General features: G+C 37.3%; 1 protein-coding gene across 23 annotated transcripts in view, besides 1 other annotated feature; it reads left to right on the top strand.

Annotated features, from left to right (window-relative positions):
• Positions 1-24,488, top strand: part of SLC8A1 (solute carrier family 8 member A1) — a 415,166-nt gene that overhangs the window by 170,963 nt on the left and 219,715 nt on the right. The gene's annotated exons all lie outside the window — the stretch shown is intronic.
• Positions 22,146-22,647: an enhancer, noted in NCBI's record as "NANOG hESC enhancer chr2:40545966-40546467 (GRCh37/hg19 assembly coordinates)". NCBI's record gives its function as "activates a minimal SCP1, AML or CMV promoter by ChIP-STARR-seq in primed H9 embryonic stem cells {active_cell/tissue: H9 hESC(primed)}" and the evidence as "EXISTENCE:reporter gene assay evidence [ECO:0000049][PMID:30033119]".

Below are 24,488 nucleotides of genomic sequence, written 5' to 3'. Positions count from 1 at the left end.
TAACCTGCAAAGATGCCCAGAACTACTATCTCATTTACTTGATTTAGACTCCACAATAGTTTCAATGAGTCATGGTGTTATGATTCTAACTAGAAGTTAGTCAGGGCCAAGTTAGAAGACAGCTGTTTTTAGCCACTACCATTTGCTTTATTTATTTACTTATTTACTTACTTATCCAAATTTGAGACATATATTTGAAAATACTCATTAGTGCTCTTTGAGATTTTTTTCTGAAGATGAATTGACTTGTTTCACGAAGCCAACTAATTTTCAGTCTCACACTCCCGTATGTAAAAAAATAAGGCAAAGAGAGCCAGGGAGTACACAAAGCAAAGCTAGTACACACCAAACAAGGCAATAGGGTGAGTTACTTTCTGGTTGGGAAACAAAACCCCTCTTCTCTCTACTACTCCATTCCTTTCTACTCTTAAGCATCCGTTCCTTCAAATGCTTTCTCCACTATGGATCTCATAAAGCAGTTCATAGTAGGATATGAAATGATCAATAAAAGCTCAAAGTTTAACTCTCTCATGGGAATGTATATTTGTGTAGGAATCAAAGCCTTTAGTACAAGTCTCCAGTGTATTTGGGTAGAGAGAGGGGTGCGTGCTATCTCATTGTCTCTGAAATAACTCCTTCAAACTTTTTCTTACCCTCAGGCCTCTAAGGCTTACCTGCATGATGAATTTCCGTTTTCCTTACTCTCACACCCAGCTTTCAATTTAGCAAGAAACAGATTCGCCCAGGCCAGTCTCAAGAATTAAACTCTGAAAATCCTGAGCCTTGTGGAGCTCTCCTTCTGATAAGAGAGTTCTGTATCAAAAATCCTAACCCTAAACCTGGGAAGGGCATGGGTAACTGTGTTTGATGTGCCTAGTCCCCCAACTCCCTTTCTCCCTTCTTCTTCTTTTTAAGAAGGAGTCTCACTCTGTTGGCCAGGCTGGAGTGCAGTCGCACGATCTCAGCTCACTGCAAGCTCCACCTCCCAGGTTCAAGTGATTCTCCTGCCTCAGCCTCCTGAGTAGCTGGGATTACAGGTGCCTGCCACCATGCCCAGCTAATTTTTGTATTTTTAGTAGGGATGAGAGTTCACCATGTCGGCCAGGCTGGTCTCAAACTCCTGACCTCAAGTGATCCACCTGCCTCGGCCTCCCAAAGTGCTGGAATTACAGGCATGAGCCACCGCACCTGGCCTTGACTCCCTTCTTGACGAGCTTACCAAATCAACTCACAGAAATAGGACCAGAAGTTTGAAATAGACATGTTTCTTATAGTTTTCAGAGGTTCCATGGTGATCAGAATCACAAACCACCATTTTTGATCTCCAAAGAGCATGCAATATATCTTGACTTAAAAGAAAGAGTCAAATTTTAATGAGGATATGAGCTACAATGACCGTTGGAAGTTTTTGGTTTTTTTGCATATGAACATTTGTATTCTGCCTCATATGACTACTTATAGTCAGTGGACATCCACAGTACACATTAAAAGCTCTGAAAAGTCATGCAGTGATGAAATATATTGTGTTTGATTGACCTAGCTTTGTCACCTGAATTTGTGAAAGTATACACAATAGGTATGCAATAGGATACATTGCATTTTGAATATTTGTTTTCTGCATAATGATATATGTTCATGATTTTTATAGTTACAAAGTAACTTCTGTCTGTCTTTCTATCCATCCATCTATTTAGATACGTCTTAGAAATTGAAAGTATTTCACAATGCCCAACTCATACTCCCTTACCTCAATTCATCAGTAAGAGCTGGGAACTTAATCAAATTTTCCTATGCATGTGTGAGACATTCATTGGTGATATTGACAATGGAATCATAAATTGCATTCTATTTCATAACCTATATTAGTTAATATTTACTGAGCAGTTTTTCATACATGTATATACTTATTTACTTTGTACTTCAGTTACTATCTTTTCACAATCTGGTACAGTGAAAATGGTAGAATATATGTTTCTAGAACAAGTTCTAAAACCAAGTGTACATAAAAATGGTAAAGTGAATTCTGGCACTGCCTCACTTTAGAGAGCCCTCAACTTCTCTGTAACTGGATTGCCACTGCTCATCAGAGAGGCTCACAGTGCTGCTGCCTTCTGATATCCTTTCCTCCTGCCGCTATCTAGATGAGAGGTAATGAGAGAATGCACATTACCTTTATCTAATCACTGGTCATCTTTAAACAGAATACTCTGATCTGACATGAAGCATATGCAGGCTGCAAGACAGTGGTTGCTACAGATAATGACATCTTAGGAATGAATAACCTATCATTTCAATGCTTACTAAGAACTAAAAGAAACATGAGAGAAGAAGCCAGAGGCGCGTAGTGGGTATTTGTTTAGTAATATCAATCATCTTGGTTCTTGAAAATCAGACAGATCCTAGGTTTATGTGATCTGAGTTGTGGGTTGTCTTATTTTTATTGACACAATAGCACAGAGCAGCCCATCATCTGAGGCCAACACTTCGCTTTCCAGGGAAGTTCACTGTCTGTGGCTTGGAGAGACTCTGGTAGATTATATGCTAATTTGTAACTTAAATTTTAATTTCTGATTTTTAGTTTAGTTGTTCTCATATAAGATACAGCACGCTGTTTTCAAATATTTCAAGTCACAGCTATGTGTAATTAACGTAGCATTTTACTGAATTCCTGTAATACATATGATACCTTTCAGGATCTATTAGGAAATTTCTAAAAGAAGAAAATCCAATTATGGAAGATAATTGCCATCTAATTTCAAAGGAAGAATCATCCCTAGTGACTTCTTTATGACACAACTTGTTTTGTTGTCACTTATGGATGAAAAACATACCTATAGTCTTGTTGATTTTGCTTAGTCTCAGTAATCATTGACTTGTATTTGTTGAATGATTTCAGTAGGGTCAGATGCCATATGAGGATGTTTACAGAGCAGAAATAAAATCAAAGACCATGGTTTGTGGGCCAGGAGGGTTGACTTGTGCTGCATTTTATCTCAGAGTAATCTTCAATCAGCAGGCTCAGAGTTCTCAGAATAGCTGGTATTCATTCCCTATTACCCAGTTATAGAAAAGAAGCTTTAAGGCATACACACACAGTCATACACATGTATGTATACATGCAGACATATATACACACACACACTGTTGTTTGTTTTTGTTTACAGATTAGTAAAACCAGGTGCCAAATTTATTTTGATATATGTCAAGACTTGTCTTACAGGCAGGATGTCCAGGCTTCTCTTGCTATGAATCCTTGAAGATCTCTGTCTTCTGAAAAAGATGCATGATGCTACCCCACTACGATTATCTACTGGCTGAATTGTAGCCTTATTGGATAAAGGGAGAGAGAGAGGGAGAGGGAGAAGAGGGAGATGGGAGGGAGAGAGAGAGAGATAGAGAGAAACTTAAGACAGAGCACTTTCAGACCCTCATTATTTCCTAAGTTCAGATGCTGCCTTTGCTTCCTGAGCTGGGTGATGTTGTCCATATTGCTGTCTCTCTCTCTGCCTCAACACCCTTTCCTCTATATTCACACCTCAAAATGACTTTTTGAACTAAATACTAGTAAGACATCTAACTTACATGATTTAGTATTATTAAATAGTAGGTAGAACTGACAGTGAAAAAGAAGAATCAAGGAATGTAATGTTTATCCTGTACTTCGGAAGATGTACAATAACTGAAATAAGAAAACTTCATAGAATCATCAGGATAGTATATTTCTCCATGAATAGAAGGAATTATTTTGCATTTTCCTAGGGACATAAGTAGGAATATAGGAGTGTAACTCACAAGAAAATAAATGGAATGGAAACCTAGGGGGAAAGGTTTAGGAGATTGTGGTTAAAGTATACAGAGAAAAGCAAAACAGAAAATAAGGAGATGAATCCATACCAAGTAATACCATTGAGTGCCACTGAGTAGCTGGTAATTGGATCTGCTAACTACCATTGCATTGCTGAGTGCGCTATGGAGGTGAGTGGTTTGTTGTTTTTCTTGCTTTTCCTTTTTTTACCTGACTTCCTTCATGGGTTCCCTGTAGAATCAGGTACTTTCTTAAAGTTTATAGAATTTAGGGTCCTCGGGTGAGAAAATAAAACTACTCTGTACGACTGAGCTGTCTTGAGTAGTAGTATGATATTTACAAAACAATATCACTGTTTATGATGATGCATAAACATACTAAAATTTTATACCTAAGAAAATACTACATTTGATGTATAAATATCAAAATACCATTTCAAAACAGTGAATGTATTTACTTCCCCCATTCTTAAAAAATGTGTTTGACATTTTTGAACTTACACAGCACTGTAAACTATGGTCAGCACATTAGTTAAAACGCTTACACAATTATCATGCTTATATGTAAAAAGAAGCAACATTTGCCTTGTTTCCAACCATGTTGAGAAAAATTGGTTGGCTTCTAGAAGTGCATTACAAAGAGGTTCATATCTTCTTAGGCATCTTTAAGGATGCTAGTTACTGAATATCAATTTGGTACATTATGCCAGGTGCATCTTATTTTATATTCACCACCTCTATAAAGTAAGCATTATTATCCCCATTTTCCAGGTTAGGAAACTGTGGCTCAGGGAGTTAATTCACCCAGAGTTAAACAGAAAGTGGCAGAGTCAAGATTCCATGTGACATCTCTGACACCACAGTCTATAATATTACCATGGACTTTATTATTTTTTTCATGAAAAAAGAAAACATGAATAAAAATATTAAGGCATCCTAAAGCGGAACATGCTGGCAGTACACAGAGGTTCATGCCTGTATTTTTGTGAACGAAAGTGAACTTAACAGTCTATATCTATGATAGCCTATCATAGCATCTTCAGAAATGAAGCCTAGACCAATGACTGGAGGATTCCCAGGGGAAAAGGTCAGTTTAGATAACTTCCCTAAGGGATGTGACACTATTTTTTCAGAAAAGAGCCTTATGGTTAAATAAGATTTATCTGGAACTCTTGAGGAGCCCTCTGTACTAGTTTAGGCCTCTCAGGAGTACCGAGGCCTGACCATGTATAAAATGGATATTCTGAGATTTTTAGTGGACATTATGATGAATTGCAGACAAGAGAGGCCCCTGCAAGGCCTTTGTTGTCTTGGTTAAATCCTTATTCATTCATTAATTTGTTTACTCATTTGAGTGTATAAGATATACTGGACATTGGTACAGTGTGATATAAATATGTTTCCCACCTTCAAGTGAAGGACAGGCAATTACAATGCAATATGATAGTTGCTGTACCAGTGATGCTCAGATGTCTTTAAGGTACCACATAAAGTGGAATTAGGATGGCCAAATTCATCCTTGAGATTAGAGGGGAATGGAGCATTGTAGAGAACAGCCATTTGCTCTTCACCACTGGCAGGGATTTCGTTTTTAAGTCATGGCATGACATCATAAGGAACTATGCCACCCTATCTTGTCTGCCTTGTAAATACCAACTTGTTTGAGGTGTAGCTCTAGCATTACCCACTTCATGGACTTTTCCTTTCTCCCCACTGACTTTCTAGTACTTGGTTCATATACCAACTAGCAGTGTAGTGCTTTCTAAACTTAATTCACTTATCTCTTTCTTGAATTTCTCTGATAGGCTCATTCCACTGATATAAATTGGATCAGGTTCCCAAAGAGCCTGTATTCACATAGAGCCAGATAATCATGACAAAGGCAGAGCCTCAAAACACATTCATTTCCTGTTAATAAAAGGATTACCTTATTTCAATCACTTGTCAGTTTCATGATCTATGTAGTTTGTAGCAAAGGGCTGTTCCTAGACTGGCCCTGTGGGCCATGGAAAACACCCATTTCTGTTCTTTTAGGGCTGTCATATTGTAGCATAGATATTTTTGTATTATTCACATGATTTTTAAAAATACAATTAAGGGAAAGGAAGCTATGTTCATTGTATTTCTTAAAAGAAGTTAGTTTATTAAGTCAGTCATTCCCATCCAGTTTTCCTGGTTGTACACAGTATTCACAGTTTTAACTTGACAACACAATATAAATTTAATTATGGTTATAGACTAACCACTTTTGCTTAATTACAGGGAGTGTGCTTTCCAGATGAAGCCATATCTGAATTTGAAATACATCAATATATGGTAGATGTTTCTTCTTTCAGTGCTTCTTCATATTTTGATATTCTAGGAAATTAGAAAAATATATGAGCACATTGCTAAACTTTATGGGCATACATCTATTTGCTTTGTCTTTACATTATTTAAATTTCTAAAATGATAGAAAAGAAAGCCAGTTGTAGTATGATAATTGTAGGAAAATAATATACGGATATTGTATATCTATATCATATCCATATCCAAAACTATTTCCCTATATCTATTTATCTTAGCAGGAAATTCATTTGGGATTCACAATATGACTGTTTACAAAATGGGAGCACTAATGACCTCTTTGGAGAATGAGATCCATGAGTTGATATCAGTAGAGTTTTTGGCTTTTTGGCTAAAGCAGGGATGACCGAATTTACTGAAGGCCTTGGTACAGGTTAGGGGGAAGACAAGGACAGTGGTAGGTGACATGAAGCCTACTGCTGCCCCCTCACCCCCTAAAGGCTGAGGGACTAGTTTTAGGCTGAGAATGAGAGCAGTATGGCCGAGGGACTGGCTCAACAGTTCTTCTTTAATATATTTATTTTAAATGTCCCAGATGCAAATTAGATTTCTCTTTGCTTTGCTATTATGGTATTGCCTGCCTGAAAATAGCACGTCATTTGATCAATGATCTGATAATTTTGCCATTAGTGCGTAACCCTCAACTTTGGTTATTCATATTTATGGCTGAAAAAAATGTTTTCAGGACATTTTAAGGGCATGATTCCTGCCCTTTTAGTGCATTGCAGGACATACCCTTCTTCCTTCTCCAGGGTAGAATCACAGATAATGATTTTATTACTGGTACCAATAAAATAAGCTTTTAAGAATTTTAATGCACATATATATTATCCAAATTGTATTAATACATTTCATTTTCTAGTGTGATTTCAAAAATATGCATTGGCTGTAAAAAATATTGTCATTGTCCAGATATATGGCCTTAAACTACACTTAAGTCATGTCTATATAAAACTGAAATGGTTATGCCTTTGGTATTAAATCGTTGAGTATTTGACTGGGCTAAAAGTCATCAAAAGCCTAATACAATATTCAGTACATGGTACTTTTTCTTTCCTCCATTGATAACATCACATTGGACTGGAATGCAGAGAAAATCACTAACTTCTCTAAACCTCATTTTATTTACTTCAGAAACAAGGCAGGTGGATAGTCTCTAAGGCTCCTTTTAGCTAATTCTAACACTTATGTTTCTATAGATATGTTGATGATGTTGCAACAAAATGGATATACATGATAATGCATATTGATTGTTTTTTTGTTGTTGTTGTTTTTGAGATGGAGTTTCTCTCTTGTTGCCCAGGCTGAATGCAATGGTGCCATCTCGGCTCACTGCAACCTCTGTCACCCAGGTTCAAGTGATTCGCCTGCCTCAGCCTCCCAAGTAGCTGAGATTACAGGTGTGCACCACCATGTCCGGCTAATTTTGTATTTTTAGTACAAACAGGGTTTCACCATGTTGGTCCGGCTGGTCTCAAACCCCTGACCTCAAGAGATCCACCCGCCTTAGCTCCCAAAGTGCTGGGATTACTGGCGTGAGCTACTGCGCCCAGCCCATATTGATATTTTTTGTGTGATGATTACTGACTCCAAACTAATAGGGGACAAGTGATGGTATGCTACAATAATGATAAGGAGACTCTTAAAATTGAAATTGTTTTATTTATTCTTGTTTATACTATTAAGAAGATATGAGAGTTAGAAAAATATATATATTTTCTACCACAAAGTAGAATAAGCTCAATGGGATACCTAGGTCTTGAATAAAATGAATAGAATTCAGATTTTTCCCCAATAACATTGGTTACCTCAACATTCTTATGCTAGCTTGGGAATAAAAGACACTTTTTTCTTTTTTTTTTTCTTTTCTTTTTTTTTTTTTTTTGAGACGGAGTCTCGCTCTCTTGCCCAGGCTGGAGTGCAGTGGTGCGATCTCGGCCCACTGCAACCTCCACCTCCCGGGTTCAAGGGATTCTCCTGCCTCAACCTCCCGAGTAACTGGGACTACAGGCACATGCCACCACACCTGGCAAATTTTTCGTATTTTTAGTAGAGACGAAGTTTCACCGTGTTAGCCAGGATGGTCTCGATCTCCTGACGTCGTGATCCGCCCGCCTTGGCCTCCCAAAGTGCTGGGATTATAGGCGTGAGCCACCGCACCCGGCCTAAAAGACAGTTTTAACTGAGTGCAACAAGTATTTTCGTTAAGAGATTTTTTTTCGTAATTTACCATTCTGCTGAATCAATTTTTAATCCAGTTGGAAGCTCTAAAATTCTAACATAATTCAGAAGCATTAAAAAAGAAGACTAAGGAAGAGAAAGCTACATTTTTATTTCAGCTTGTATTGCATTGTGCAGAAAGGAAAATAGTCTAGCTAATTTACTTTTCCTATGAAAAACCTTAGGAGGTCCAGAGGGCATCTTTTAAGCATTTTGTGCTCCACCATGCCATTTGGGTCAAAAGGATTTATTTAAAATATATTGGTTTGTTTATCTGATAACACATAACTCTGGAAAAGCTAATCAATCTACTTTATTCACGGAAATATTAAAATGATTCAGCTGGATGGTTAATTTTGGTAGTCAGGGATTATAAACTCACTTCACAGGATTTTTAAACAGGTTTGACATTCCTTTCCCATAAGAAAGCCTGTATATATTTGACCTTTGGATTTCAGCCAACCCTGTCATTTATTTTCTGCAGCTTGGTAGAGAATTATGTTCCTAAGCCATTTTTGGCTCACCAGCCTTTTTTCTCCCTGGCGTCACTACTTAGTACTAGAGCACAAGGTCAGAATAAGGAAGTTGAGGGAAGACTGGAGTTCTTTCATTAAAATGAACTCACGGGATAAAGATACATAAGTAAGGGGAAACACCGCCCCCCGCCCCCGTCCTCCCCCCACACACATGTTGCAGAAAGAGGATATCATTTGACTGTTTGAATTGAATTATGTAGTGAAGTAAAGGGTAAATCCAGAGTCAGGACTTGCAGTCTCAAAGTTCAAAGCCACTTAATGAAAAACAGAGCTCTTCACCATCCTCAAAAAGCATTTTCTAAACAGCCAATTGCATGTGGTGCTGTAAAGGGAATTACGTAGACCTAGCCTGTGACATTTAGAAAGGCATTCAAAGTTTAGAAATAAAATACTTACGGTGTTGCCAAGTCACTACACAAGCCTTTTAGTAAATCTCTGTTTAGAAAACTCACTGCCAGGCACTATGGCTGATGCCTATAGTCCCAACACTTAGGGAGGCTGAGGTGGGAGGATCACTTGAGCCAAGGAGTTTGAGGTTACAGTGAACTGTGATCACACCACTGCACTCCAGACAGTGCGATCATAGCTCACTGTAACCTCAAACTGTCTGAAAATAAATAAATACATGGAGAGAAAAATTATCATAGACGAAAATATTTAGAAAAGCCATCCTAGGCCGGTCACGGTGGCTCACGCCTGTAATCCCAGCACTTTGGGAGGCCAAGGCTGATGGATCACCTGAGGTCAGGAGTTCAAAACCAGCCTGGCCAACTGGCAAAACCCTGTCTCTACTAAAAATACAAAAATTAGATGGGCACAGTGGTGGCCGCCTGTAATCCCAGCTACTCGGTAGGCTAAGGCAGGAGAATCGCTTGAACCCGGGAGGCAGAGGTTGCAGTGAGCCGAGATCGCACCATTGCACCCTAGCCTGGGCGACAGAGCGAGACTCCGTCTCAAAAAAAAAATAAACATAAAATAAAATAAATAAATAAAAAGCCACCCTAATGAAAAATAATTGATGAGTTTTAGTACAAAACTCATCCTATTTTATGCAGTTAACTCACATAAAATTTTGCTAATATAAAGGGCACTTTTTTATTCTCCCGGGAGTGTTCTTTACTGTAGGGTTGCATATACATTAAAGTGGGTCATAGAAGTGAATACAGACAAGTACCAAATATAGTAGGCATTATGTGTGTGTGTTTTATGATTCTATGAATATTCTATGAATATTCTGTAGAAAATGAAGTTAAAAGCATTGGTTAGACTTTTCACTTTCTAGCCTCTCACTAGTGGTAATAAATAATGACAATAGTAATGATAAGACACATTTATTGATAATGTATTATGTGCCAGACACTAAGCTTAGCACACTATATGGCAATTACTGAATTATCTCAATAAATTCTTATAACAATCTCATACCATAGATAATATCACCCTCATTTTCCTAGGTAGGAATCAGAGGCTTAGAGCCAAGATTTGAACCCTTGTCTGCAGGCCTGCAAAGCTGATGCTCCTAGCATCTACGTGTACTCCTCAAAACCTATCATAAGATTTTATTTCATTTGGAAGAAAGAAAGTATTTATTGTCTTTTGAGACGTTTTTATTCATTCAATTTTGTATGTGGCTCTGGTTTGCAGGTAACTCGATTGTATTAGATTAGATATTTATCTGTAGTTACAAGCAAGTTATATTTAGCAAATGCCGTAGATTCCAGAGGCAGTAAATCTTGCCATTTGTCATTTTTCCAGAATGCCTCAATTTACTTGATTAATCATGATCAGTCAATTATTTAGCAGTCTGTGCAAAAAGAGAATATATTTTAACTTTATTTTTCCTTTATGAGCTGGTAATTGGTAAAATGAAGAGAATTTCCACATTTACCTTTGCAACTATAAGCAACTAGTAGTATATTTATTTTGTATATAGACAATTACCTCTCTTTATAATAGTAATTTATTGATGGGTGTGTGTGTGTCCCTGCTTGGAATAATGGACTGATGTGTAAATTCAGGGAAAACATCAGAAATGACTAATTAGAAAACATAAAGGAATACTACTCTTGTATTTCCAGTTTTCTACTTTATTTTAATATACCAAATGTAGTCAGCCTTAGACATTGCCTTTATTATTCACTGGTTGGTTTTGTTCTTTTCTTACGTTTAGTCCAACAACACACATAGTTTTCAAAGAGGTAAAACTAAATTTTATGGGAATTCAGCTTAAAGAATGGCAGGAAGGACTGGCCTTGATGACACATGACCATTTATCCTCATCATTTTAATGTGTTTCCTTTAATAGTCTCACTTCAGACAAAAACATATACTATCATCCTGCCTCTACTATGCAAATGGAAAAATATGGTACCTTCTAATGATCAGAAGTTAGAACGGGTCTTGGGAATAACCATTAGTCCTAATAAATAGCGTAGGATAGTCCATTCAAAAATATTATTTAAAATTCATTTTTATTAAGATATGCATCTAGCATCTACTTTTTGAAAAGTTTTAAGCTCCACACCCGTTTTTAGTTAGAAACATTAGTTTATGCTTCTGAAGTTTCAGCTCCTGCTCTTTAAATAGCTTGGCTGTCTTGTTTTTCCCCCCCTTTTTATTACATAGTACTTTCCCAGGGTAAGTGATAAATAAAGCTGGAGGGTTGGTCATAAATTCCCTTCCTCTCTTTCCCCTCTATCCTACCTCAGGTTATTTTTATGCTAGGATCTGTGACAGCGTGCCAGGACTCCAGTCAGCATCACATGCAGTGGGATGGGATTGAGGAATACTTGCAACCTGGGAGTCTTCCCTGCTTAAAGCTCTCACTTTAAACCTAAGCAAGGGCCTGGGATGGGAGCAAGAGCCTAAAACAAGAACTTGAATGTGCAGCACCCTATCCTTGCTAAGGGACTCGTCATGACAAGTGATGAGAATTCTTGGCCTGGTTTTGAAGATACGTCATAGGGCTGATTGGAAAGAAAAATCATTAGTAACTTAAATCCTTTTCTCTTTCCATCTCTTATTCTTCCTCACATCTGTGAATGAGGATTCTGTTGAACATCTTAAATACTTTCAGGTTTAGCAAGAGATCTTCCAATAGCCATTTAACAAACAGCAAGAGGAAGTTCAGCCCTTGGCCAAAGAGATTAAAAAATTTAAACACACTTGGATGTATTGAATTTATTAACTTGGCCTCCAGAAAGGGAACATTGTAGTTGCACAGGCAGCAAGAAAATTAACCATTCAGTGCTGTAAAATACAGGAAGTTAATAGTACTTCAGATTGTGGAGACAGAGGTCTGGGAAGGATTGTTGGAACTGATAACATTTGGTTGGACCTAACGGTTGCGTAAGGTTTCAATGGGCCAGAGAATATGAGAGTATTCATTCAAGGGAAACTGCAGGAATAAAGGTTTGGCCGAGTGAAAGTTTGTCTGTTTTCAGTGAATTTTAAATAGTCCAGTGCGTGTGTGTGTGTGTGTGTGTGTGTGTGTGTGTGTGTGTGTGAGGTTGTAGTGTGAGGAGATGAAAATAGAGAAGTAGTGTGAGTTGAAACCATAAGGGACCAGGAGGGATACATTAATGTGTCTGGATTGGGCTTTGCTGGTTTTCTAGAGTTGCTGGAAGTCCTTGGGCAGACAAGTGACATAATCTACTCTGTGCTCTTAAAAGGCAACTGGTAATGGTGTAGACCACAGATTGAAGGGGCTGAAGCTGGAGGCAAGCAGATCAGATGGGGGAGCCCTTGCAATAGTCCAGGTGGGAGATTTTGATCACCTACAATAGGAGGAAATTGGAAGTCACTGGGAAGCTGGGACCAAATTTGGAAACTGATTCAGTGTGAGCTATGAAGATGAAAGAGACCTGAAAGATGACACGCTTGCGAACTGTGGTGCTTTCAGATTATCTAGAGACCACAGAAAGAGTTCAGTTTGGGATATCTAGTTTAAACTGCTGTAAGAGGCAGTGGAAAATGTATGTATGCGAACAAAAATGAGAATTGAGAGCTGAAAATAGAGATTGGGGGATTCGCAGCAAGAAGTAATGACAAGAGCTAAGTCATCAGGTGACATTACCTACAGAAATATATAAAGAAGGAGAAAACTGCAGGAGAACTTTGAGAAATGTTCTCATGGTGGTGGTTGGAGGAAGATGAATTTAAAAGAAAGAAGTTAAGGACTGATTAGAGGCAGAGGAGATAAACCTCCACAGTATCACATCAAATGGAACGGGGGAAGTCGATGTTTCAAGGACAAAGGTGAAAGAATAACTATTACTAATAATGGAAAGATCCTTGGGGAGTCTATGTGGACCAGGATAATACATTAAATTTAATCACATAGTGCTTTTAAGTCACAGAAAATTCCTTGGAATGGTTAATTTCTTTTCTTTTTACTCTATTTATCGACCTGAATAGTTTCTACCTCAACTCATCCAAACCTCAGAATATCCCAAAAGTCTAACTCTTTACCCTCTTCTGCTAAATATGCTCTTTTTCTTTCTTCTCTGAATTCCTGTGGTTGGTATTGTTAGTTCTCTTTTCACATGTGTATGTCTTATTTCCCCAACTGTATTATATGATTTTCAGGGCAAATACTGTATTTTTTTTTCAGTTTTATTTCTGCATGTATTTATTTACTTATTTATTAAATAATTTCAGCTTTTATTTTAGATTCATGGGGTACATGTGCAGGTTTGTTACATGGGTATATTGCATGATGCTAAGGTTTGGGGTATGACTGATCCCATCACCCAGGTAGGGACCATAGTATCCAATAGGTAGTTGTTCAGCCCTTTTCTCCCTCCCTCCTTTTGGAGTCCCCAGTGTCGTATTATTCTCATCTTTATGTCCATGTGTACCCAATGTTTAGCTCCTAGTTATATGTGATAACATGCAGTATTTGATTTTCTGTTCCTGCATTAATTCACTGAAGATAATGACCTCCAGCTGCATCCATGTTGCTGCAAAGAACATGTTTTTTTTTATGGTTGCATAGTATTCCACGGTGAAGCACTGTATTTTAAACTCATTCATTTGTGCCTCACAGTCTAGCAAAGTGATTTGCAGAAAGAACATGCTCACAACGTTTTTTAAAAAGCTATGCTGCGAAATTTGGCAACATGTATTAAGTGTCATGAAACAGTTATTTCCTTTGACACATAATGCCTCTTTTGGGACTTTATTCTAGGGGAATAATGTGAAATGTTAAAATGTCATATGCACAAACATACTTCACAGAGTTCTTTCAAAACAATTCAAAGGTCCAGTATTGTAACAGTGGAATGTTCATGTGAATTGTATGTCATTCAATGGAATCATGCAACTTTTAAAAACTATGAAGACTATCAAATTAGAAATGTAATTATCATTTAAGAAGGAGCAGGGCATACAATTATTTGTGCATTATAGGTTTCAAATGTATAACATGCATATGAGAAAGATTGAAAGGGAATAAATTAAAATTATATAATTTAAGACAGTAGTAGAATTGTAAGTAGTTTCTTTTCTTTTTAAAATAGGTATATTGTATTACTATTGTTGTTACAAGTTGTTTTACACAAAAGTAATGTTTTGTTTCCTATGGAGGACCTAATATTGTACAGTGAGCTTGGAAGATTACTTGGACCATTAGCAATTTCTACTAATGAGCCCTGACCTTGGGATCAATACCTCTGCAGTCTGGTTAGGATCCTTCTCTTGTTTCCACACAATCATCTTTAAATTTACATCGTCAATTTAAATGGATCAAACAGATTAGATTAAGAGAATACTTAAAACACAGGCCCTCCTGGAAGTGACTGAAAGGAGTCCTCTTTAAATATGCAAGTCATTACTAGGCTGTCAAGAACCATTAGTAGCCCATAGTAGTGATGACCATAACCATTGATCAGTACCAGAAATTTGTTTCATCTCTTCATTTTGGACAAGGGGACCACCTTTTCCTTTAACTCTTGGCAGTTCGAAAGTTAGAAAGAGAAAGAGAGGAAGAGGATAGTTAAGAAGGAAGGTGGGGAAGCAAAATGAGTGGGCTGTGACAAGAAAAGACCAAGGCAGAGAAGAAAGGTTTTTAACAGTAAGATAACTCTCTGATGTTCCCTTTCTTCACCATTTTTTTTTTTATCTCTTCCCTGCTGCTTATTGGAGCCTTTCAAATAGAAGCACTGTGGTTTCAAAAGCTATGACTATTTTTGATCTTTCCTCTAATCTATATTATGAGGTGGTCTTGGCCAGGAGATCTGTTCTCTTGATTTACATAGTGCACTGTACCAAAAGTAGGAGGTTTAGCAGCACAGGCAAAGACAAGTACAAAATAAGGGGTAAACAGAAAACAGAGAGTATGGGCAGGCACCCCAGTAGCCTTTTCCACGCTGCGGTCCCTAGCTCTGAGTTCGAAGAGGCTGGTGCAAATGAGTGAGTCCTATAGTTTTGCTACCTAGGCCTGTCTGAAAAATCCAGACAAGATATCCTCAGTTTCACCACTGTACAGATTGCACAGCTGCTGATAGAAGGTGCAGTAGATCTGCTTGTCAGTCAGCTCAGGACAGGTGAGTTGCTGACTTTCCCTGTGGGCGTGTGAAGAAGGCAGCTCATGCTTCTTGACATTATGGAGGCCCAGCAGTGAACTCTCATGTGTACATTAATGTGCATTTTACCTTTTTACCCATTCTAGGTAACCTATAAAGGATAGTGAAACTTAAAGAAATATCGAATATCAGTCCCAAGTAGCTGGGACTACAGGCACCTGCCACCACGCTCAGCTACTTTTTTTTTTTTTTTTTTTTTTTTTTTGTATTTTTAGTAGAGACAGGGTTTCACCATGTTAGCCGGCATGGTCTCCATCTCCTGACCTTGTGATCCACCCGTCTTGGCCTCCCAAAGTGCTGAGATTACAGGCGTGCGCCCGGCCCAAGAGATGCTTATTTTTTATGACTGAAATCAAACACCTATTATATTGATTCAGGTTTTAAGACTGGATCTGAAAGAAACTGACCCAATTTTTTAATGGTATTATAATATAACATGTAATATAACAATGAGATACAAAATATGAAAAGGTGCAGCCTTCTTATATGCTTAGGTTGCTCATAAATTGAATAATGAGTTTCTAGAAAATGTAGTCATTATGCCTAGCCTTTCTCAGGGATATCATTAGCCCAGTTATTTATCTGCTCCACTGGTTTGCAAGGGAAAAGCAGCTCCCTGGGCCAGGCTGGGACTTTTTCCTGGTTTCAGGGGCCTGGCAGCCCTCTCAAGAAACATTCTCTTCCTGCCCTACCTCAAAAGGTCAAGTATTTTCATGGCACTTACTAGGGCTGGCAGAGTTATGCTCTTTCTACATCATTGAGCATCAATCTGAAGCCTCACAAGGAAAACTGTCTGCTATTTTTCTGGTCATAAAAGAGAAAATACAAGTTGTTTTCCCTATAAGGAATTAATTGTAGTTTTTTTTTTTCTCTACAGACTCTGTCTGTGGGGAGGAAGTGGGCCTTCACATAAATAAATTGGATCATTATTAAGGAAAGAGTGAGAAGGGATGTGGTGGGGATTCCTTGGAGAAGAGAGTGTGGAAGTGCTGTTAGGATACAGAAGGGCACATGGAGAGGAGAGATCCAGGGCCATATCTCAGCCACATCATCTTTGCAGTCATTTGGTTGTTGCACTGCAAGGAGGTCATCTGGAAACAGCTGCACCATCAGAGGATGTTCTTTTCCTCCAGGTGTGCTTTAATAGCAAAACATGCTACTGCGACATTTCTAGTTCAACCAAGAACTTGTCAAGATGCAACCTTTGTGGGGAATCAAAAGTAGTATGTTCCTGATAAACTTAAGATTTGAGACATTGATGCCTCTGAATAAAAGAGAGAGAGAAAGACAGGGAGGGAAGAAGGAAGGGAAGGGAAAGGAAGGGAGAGAGGGAGAGAAACTAATAACTTAATTCTCCCCAGTGGATGAACAAAATTGCCACTTTGTGGAGACTAAAACCCTACATTTTTAATAAACAAATGAGCTACTTCACTTTGAATCATATTTAGAGCAGGAATCTATGACATTTCCCTTCGTAGTGATAACAAGGGGAAGAATACTTCTGAGTTAGGAAAGAAATGGAATGTTTGATCCTGTTTAAGTGTACAACAGGAAATTTAAATAATCTTGCCATGTTGGTTTAGGAAGTGCCTCTGAAATAGCCCCATCTTTATTTGAACCCCATTTTATAGTTGTCTGTTCAAAACCAGGTATAATTCCCACTCCTTGACTTTTGTGAGCGTTTCCCCTCTTTAAAAATGTAAGCCCTTCTTACCTTCTCACTTAGAGTATCAATTCATGCTACCTCTACTTTTAACCCAGTATCGATCTAAAAGTTAAAAGCTCTTCACTAATTCCTTTTACCTCATCATATTTCAATCTCGTGGATTTCTGTTTAGAATATCTCCATCACCTTTTTACATAAATTTATTTATAAGTAGGGTGACTATATGCCGCATTTTTCATGAGACAATCTTGGTTTACACATACTGTAATTGTTAACAGCCCCCCCCCCACCTTTAACTTGCTAAGCATTGCAATTTGGAATATAAATGGCATAGTAACTCTATTTATAAGTTAAGTATGCACGGAAATAAGCAAAATTTTGTACAGACTTTAAAAAATTCTTATAATTTTTTTACAATTAAACTCCTGAAACACCTTTCTCATACTAGTTTCCTATCTATTCATAAGTGAAATAGATACCTTGATAAGAGACTGAGTTTTCTGGCATCACTTCATATCCCTTAAACATTTAAAAATATTTCTAAATCTCAGCAATGGATTTAGGATCTAGTTAAACACTCTCGGAAGCCGTTTGGGTAGGAGGGTTTGTTTTTGTTGTATTTCCCCCCTTAGGAACTGGGCATTGGGACAGATAATCATTGAGTTGCAGCTGTTTGGGTCATATGCTTCTTTATAGTGCTACTCTGTTAATTTTGCATTATGCTGTTTCCTGGTACTTGAATTTTGCCAGACAAATATTTACGGAATGAGTGTTAATAGAAATTTAAATTGGGGATTGAAAAAAGAAGTTAGGATGGGCAAGTAAGTCAGAATCCAGATTTGTTTTATGTTGAATAGATTAATCACTCAGTTATTTTTAGCTAAGGAAATTGACCTTTTTTAAAAACCAGGTGAAGAAATAATTTGAGATTCAGACATGACAATTCTATTTGCAAGACCTGTGAGCTTTTTATGGACAGTAATAGTGTCTTAAAGTCTTAAGTTACATCCATTTGTATATCAAATTATGAAAGGGAAATATTGACAGAATCCAGGATGATTATTTATCAAGGAAACACTGCAATGGATGTCAGTCTTCACAGCCATTTAAGAAAAATTATTATCAATCTTGTAATTTTTCTATGATAAAGACACTGGAAGCTCGAGAACAAAAGCATTATAGTTGCCTATGTGATGTTGCTTTACAAATAAGAATATTTCTGTAAATGCTCCTACCTTCTGTCAGTAATCTCTGTCCATCATTAGTTTAAGTGTTATATAATCCTTCAATTTTAAATTATAAAAATTATTGAACTAAAATTTTAGCAAAAATGAAATGGAATATGCCTCTTCTTTTCTGAACAACGCTAAATATGTCTCTATTTATCTTTAAATATGAATTATAAAACCTACCAGAGAGAGTTGCTCTAAGGATTAAATGAGATTCTGTGTGTGGGGTGTGTGTGGTGTGTGTGTGTGTGTGTGTGTGTGTGTGTTACCCAATAAATGGTGGTAGGCACTATATAAGTGGCATTTATTATAATCATCTTATTTCTTATTAAATTGGTAGTGTTCAAACTTGGTTTTATAGATACTTGTGAAGGCATTATTATTTTTGTTATTATCATTATCATTATTTTTAGAGATAGGGTCTTGGTCTGTCACCCAGGCTGAAATGCAGTGATGTCATCACAGCTCCCTGCAGCATCAGACTCCTGAGCTCAAGTGACCCTCCTGCCTCGGACTCCTGACTTGCTGGTACTAAAGGTGTGCACCACCATGCCCATCTAATTTTTTTTTTTTTTTTTTTTTTTTTAACCTTTTGTAGAGATGAGGTCTCTCTATGTAGCCCAGCTGGCCTTGAACTCCTGGCCTCAAGCAATCCTCCTACCATGGCCTCCCAAAGCACTGGGATTACAGGTGTGAACCACACTGCCCAGCTTGTGAAGGCATTAAATGTGAGAAAATTATGGTGTCCTTTTCCTTCAAAAATTATATATGGATTACCTACTGAGTTGAAGATATTGGGGTGGTTCCATGGAATGAAAAAAAGAAAGGTTAATAAATTAGTTTTCTGATTCAAGAAGTTTAGCTGATGAACCCAGGGATACCTGGAAAACTCGTTTCTTACTATGCAAAACCACACAGCAGCCTTCCTAAAATTATTACTGATATAATCTTTTCTTAAGCTCATCCAGTGCAGTATAATATGGGTAAAAAAGGTCAAAGAAACTGACTTACTGCTAAAAATATGTGAACTTTGTGAATAATTGCTATGTCAATTCTAGTGAGAGTCATCATAGGCCTTTCCATTTGCTTAGAGATTCACCAGCATACCCTAAGTTGACTAATGAGTGACAGCAGAATTTCTTAGTTGAATCAGACAGTAGAGGTTTAATAAATGCTTGTGAATTGATTAAATGAGTGGAAAATACTTTACATACTAGTATCTCAGGTGATTTGTTACATGGATGGTGATACGGCTTGGTTGTGTTCCCACCCAAATCTTATCTTGAATTGTAGTTCCCATAGTCCCCACGTGTCATGGGAGGGACTCAGTGGGAGGTAATTGAATCATGGGGGTGGCTACCTCCATGCTGTTCTTGTGATAGTGAGTTCTCACAAGATCTGATGGTTTTATAAGGGGCTTTTCCCGCTTTTACTCGGCACTTCTCCTTTATGCCACCATGTGAAGAAGGATGTATTTGCGTCCCTTTCTGCCATGATTATAAGTTTCCTAAGGCCTCCACAGCCCTGCAGAACTGTGAGTCAATTAAACCTCTTTTCTTTGTAAATTACCCAGTCTCGGGTATGTCTTTATTAGTAGCATGAGAACAGACTAATACAGATAGTAAGGACCCACAGACCCCATGCGTTACTGAGAGCCTTCGGGTCTGTTTATAGATCACTGTCTGCCTTAGCATGCAAATCTTGAGGTTTAGTTTCTTTTCTGAAAAATATAATCCCAGTTAGAAATGATATACATGGTTATACTGGTTATAAATGTCTTAATTTACTTGTGCAAACCATACACCGAGATTTCAGAAAAAACAATTACATTCCTTAACAGATGTTTGTCCATGAGATGCTAAAGTCATTATGTGAAAAGGAAAATATACAGCTGTTGGATTTGTACGACAGAAAGACTTTGCAAATAAAGATGTCTCATATCCCCTTTAATTTGTAGATGAGGAAATTGATTCATTGGCATCATAAGTAGATGTATGATCTTGAAAAATATACAGAGCCAAATCGAACAAAGGGTTTTTAGCTCCCAATTCAGGGAGTTTACAGCCTCTTCCCTGTGGCTTGCATGGCTCCTTCTCACACACAATCCCCCGCCTGCATGGTTAGAGTGGGCAGTCCAGGGATCCAGGCTATTGGAGTGAAGGGATAAAAACTGTGGGTAACTCACAGCCAAATTGGCTAATTTGTTCTGAGTAGTGACTGATAGAGTGTTCTGAGGCTACAAGGAAAGAAGAGGTCGGCCACATTTTATTTTAATGCATTTCCATTAAAGAGTTCATAAATTGTTCTTTTGAGAAGACTCTTAAGAGATTAAGTTTAGGAAATATTGAAAATGGAGGAAAACCTCCCTTTTAAATATGATCTCCTGTGTTCCATGATCCATTTAACATCAAACCATTCTTCACTTGTCTTAACACTTTTCTTAACAGTGAGACACGCATCAAAGTGAATTCAAAACAATGTTAAGAGTTTTAAGATACCTAATATAGCTGAAAGCTATTTCCTTGTTATTTAATAAACGTCTGATTTTAGGCAAATCCCATTCTTCCTTATTTTTGGACATCAAATTGTAGTTTTACATTTATTTGTTTAGGGTTATCCACAACATGAAACACACACAACTCATTAAAAGTAAATTATATTTTCAGAAGTCCATCAGCTAATGCCAGGTAAACTGTACCAGCAACTAAGGGCAGTGGACATAATGGTTTGGAGAATAATGTCATGTTGGAGGACAAGGTTGACCCCTGTTCCCTGGCTAATATTTAATCTATATTTTAATGAAAACATCGGATGTTTATTTTTGCATTGAAAAAAAAGAATAAGTATTGAAATTTTTCTGAAAGGGAAAAACAATGTATGTGTATTTACAAATGTAGTATGTGGCACTTACATTAAATAAAAAACACCTGCAACTATACAGGCTGTGAGAGACTTAGGTAATATGAAGATGATGGTGATGGTAATGATGATAATGATGACATGAGACAAATACCAATATTTATTGAGTCCCATCTCTTAAATTGTTGTGCCCTTGGCATTTGACCATCATTCTATTTCCATGTAACAGCTTTAAAAGGGAGGTGCCATAATCCCCATTTAAGATGCAGAACCATCCACTTGTTCACATCAGCAATATTGTGTTCAGTTTTTAGTGCCACTTTTTAATAACGACATTGGTAAGCTCTCTCCACAGAAGGAGGAGCAAAATTGTGATATATCTAGAGGTCATATTATTTAAGAAATTGATAAGAAAGTGGAAGAATAATTAGGACTTGGGAGTTCATAATAACTTCTTTCAGCTACTAAAATGGTTGTCCTGGGGAAGAATTGTTTGCAGAGCTCTCCAAAGGCAGAATGATGGCTAATGGAGGAAAGTCAAATGAAGACTTCGTGTTACTGTCATGCCTAACATAAGGAGGAGCTTTGTGACAGGCGGAACTGCTCATATATAATATATGGGAGTATGAGATGTGCTGCTTAGTGAGGCATCTACTCTTTCATTCACTTAATCATTTGTTCAGAAAACGTGTTTTGAACGTCTCTGATAAAGAACACATGGTCTAGAGAGAAATTCAGTGCTACCAAAGCTGGATCAACCAGGTGACAAAGGAAGCTCCAAGAATTAATTGACTAGGAACTGCAAAAATCCATGCTTCAGAAAACCAGTGAGAAGACTAAAAACCCTGATGATATTAAGTGAGGCATAGTGGGTTCCTTAGTCCTGTACCTCCAAGAATAGTGAAAGAAAGCAAAATTAAAGAGAGTCAGTGTTGAGCTATGTGTGCTGCATTTAAAATGGTGTGACCTGCTGGAAGCTTCACGAACACTTGTTAAGTGTTCTATTTAGGAAACTGGAAATTCTCATTGTGATCACACGCATCTCATAAAACAATCCATCGCTTGGATTTCTCTCAGAGGTGAAATAAAGCCATTCCCACACTGCCTGTTAACAGAAATATGCCAGGAATTAAGGCTTTCTCATTGTGTCTACCTAAATTACCTTCTCAGCTGGGTATTCCTGTCTCACTTTCCAAATCCTGTTTCCTGGGAGTTGAAAGCTTTCCAGTTGGTGTATTTATAGCAGTGGCAAATCCATAGAATCATTGTTCACATTCTAGTAACAGTAACATCTGCAGAAATTCTTTGCCCCAGATAGCAATTTTACCCTCAAACATTGTATTGAAAAGTTGAGGGAAAAAAAAGAACAACTTCCAGAGAATAACTTTCCTAAGCGTTGCACACAGTAGGCACTTGATATAGCTGGTAGGCTTTCGTCTGATAGAGCCTTGTGTAACTTCCGGAGTCCTAAAGACTGAATTTCAATGCATATACTTTCCTCATCAATTGCAGTTAGTAAATAAAAATAGTAGCACTATTTTGGGACTGAATTTTGTAAAATATCTCTAGGTTCTACTTAGACAGCAACGGTCTACATTTATAGGGGGCACTATACTCCATATGGTTGGAGGCAGTTTGTATAAGAGTTAAGTGTGTGATTTGAAGTCAGGTGATTCTGGTTTCATCACTTACTGGTCACATGGCTTTGGAAATGTTATAAAGTTTTTTTTTCTTTTCTGTAAAATAGATATAAAAATAATACCAAAATCCTAGAATTGTAGGATCATTAGTTAATGTAGTACATTGAAGTGATTTAGTATGATCCTTGGTACATAGTAAGTGTGAGTCAAAACTAACAGCTCTTGAATAGTGTTAAGTAGAACAATATCCTGGAATGAGGTTTTTAAAAGACAGATGCCCAGCCTCTTTCAGGAGAGGCTCTAATTAGGTAGTTTTGAGATGAGGCTCAGATAATCATATTTTGAACCATTCCTCTAGGAAATTCTGACGCACACCAGAATTTTAAAAATCACTGGATGATTATGACTTTTTGTTTTTACCACTCCCAAACTTAGCCCAGTTCCAGCAAGTTGACTTTGCCTGCTTAAGATGTAAAGAGAGAAAGAAAAATAATTAAGTGTTCCATGTGATAGTACTTGTTGCCGTGAATCCATATTTAGTGCCTTCTTTCAAATCAAAGCTTGCACTGGTCTCTTGTTATACACTTCAGTGTTGCTCTCCAATCCTCTCAGCCCTGACCCACCAGGAAATCTGCACTGTTAGTGCATGCTGAATATCCACAGCAATGACCTCACAGAACTCTACATACCACCTCGAGGAGTGAAGCCAAGGTCAGCATCAGGTTTTCAGTATGATGAAAATAAAATGTAAATTTCAAAAATTGGGGACATAACACAAATTTACTGTTTTCTTTAAACATTTTAAACATTGCCATAATTTTCAGATAAGAATAAATTTTTTAAGTAAGGGCAACTTAAGGTAATAGACTTACAGAGTTTGAGGAATTGTGTGTCCTAATTACAAATTGAGCTTGCTTCATTTTTAAATAGCTTTTATCTTTAAAAAAAAGCACAATGCAGTATAACATTTTAAATAAATATTCCTATTTTTCTAGTTATATATCCTGTTCTTTAGTTGTTGACATACAGTCATGTCTTTAAAAGTATTTTCATTTTAAAGAAGACCAAGTGAGCCTATAATTAATCAATGTTTGTGTAGAGTTGTTGCAAGTTTTCTCTAATAAAACTTGCTTTAAGCTTTTTATTTTTATCAGTGCTTGCCTTGTCAGTGATTTGTTGACATGAGTCAGAATTTTTCTCCAGCTTAAACCAAAACAACTATTTTCCCTAATTCAGAAAAATATGATTCATAAAACCAATATGATTACATGATGTATGTAGCTTATTTTATTACCACTGCCTTGCATCAATCTGAGAAGTGATGGATACTGTCTGTCTCCAGTAATAAATAACAGAGAGGAGTTAGTCGAACAAGAGAATTGAGAAAACAGTATCTCTGCTTGAGTCAGGGAGAACTAACCTTGTCTCTGCCAAGGATACCTTCAAAGAAGCCGAACTATTCAGTAACATATTATGCAATCTTAATTCTAGGAGATGTATTTTTAATGCAACTAATCCTACTAAAACTGAATGCTATTAGTTTAACACAATTTTTGAGCACTTACTCCGTATGAGTGAACAAAGTAGAAAAATTCCCCACCCTT

Source organism: Homo sapiens, chromosome 2 (assembly GCF_000001405.40).
Source record: "Homo sapiens chromosome 2, GRCh38.p14 Primary Assembly".
In the NCBI taxonomy this organism is placed as follows: Eukaryota; Metazoa; Chordata; class Mammalia; order Primates; family Hominidae; genus Homo; species Homo sapiens.
Note: the sequence above shows the minus strand (reverse complement) of the source record. Positions and strands in the feature narration are given on the sequence as shown.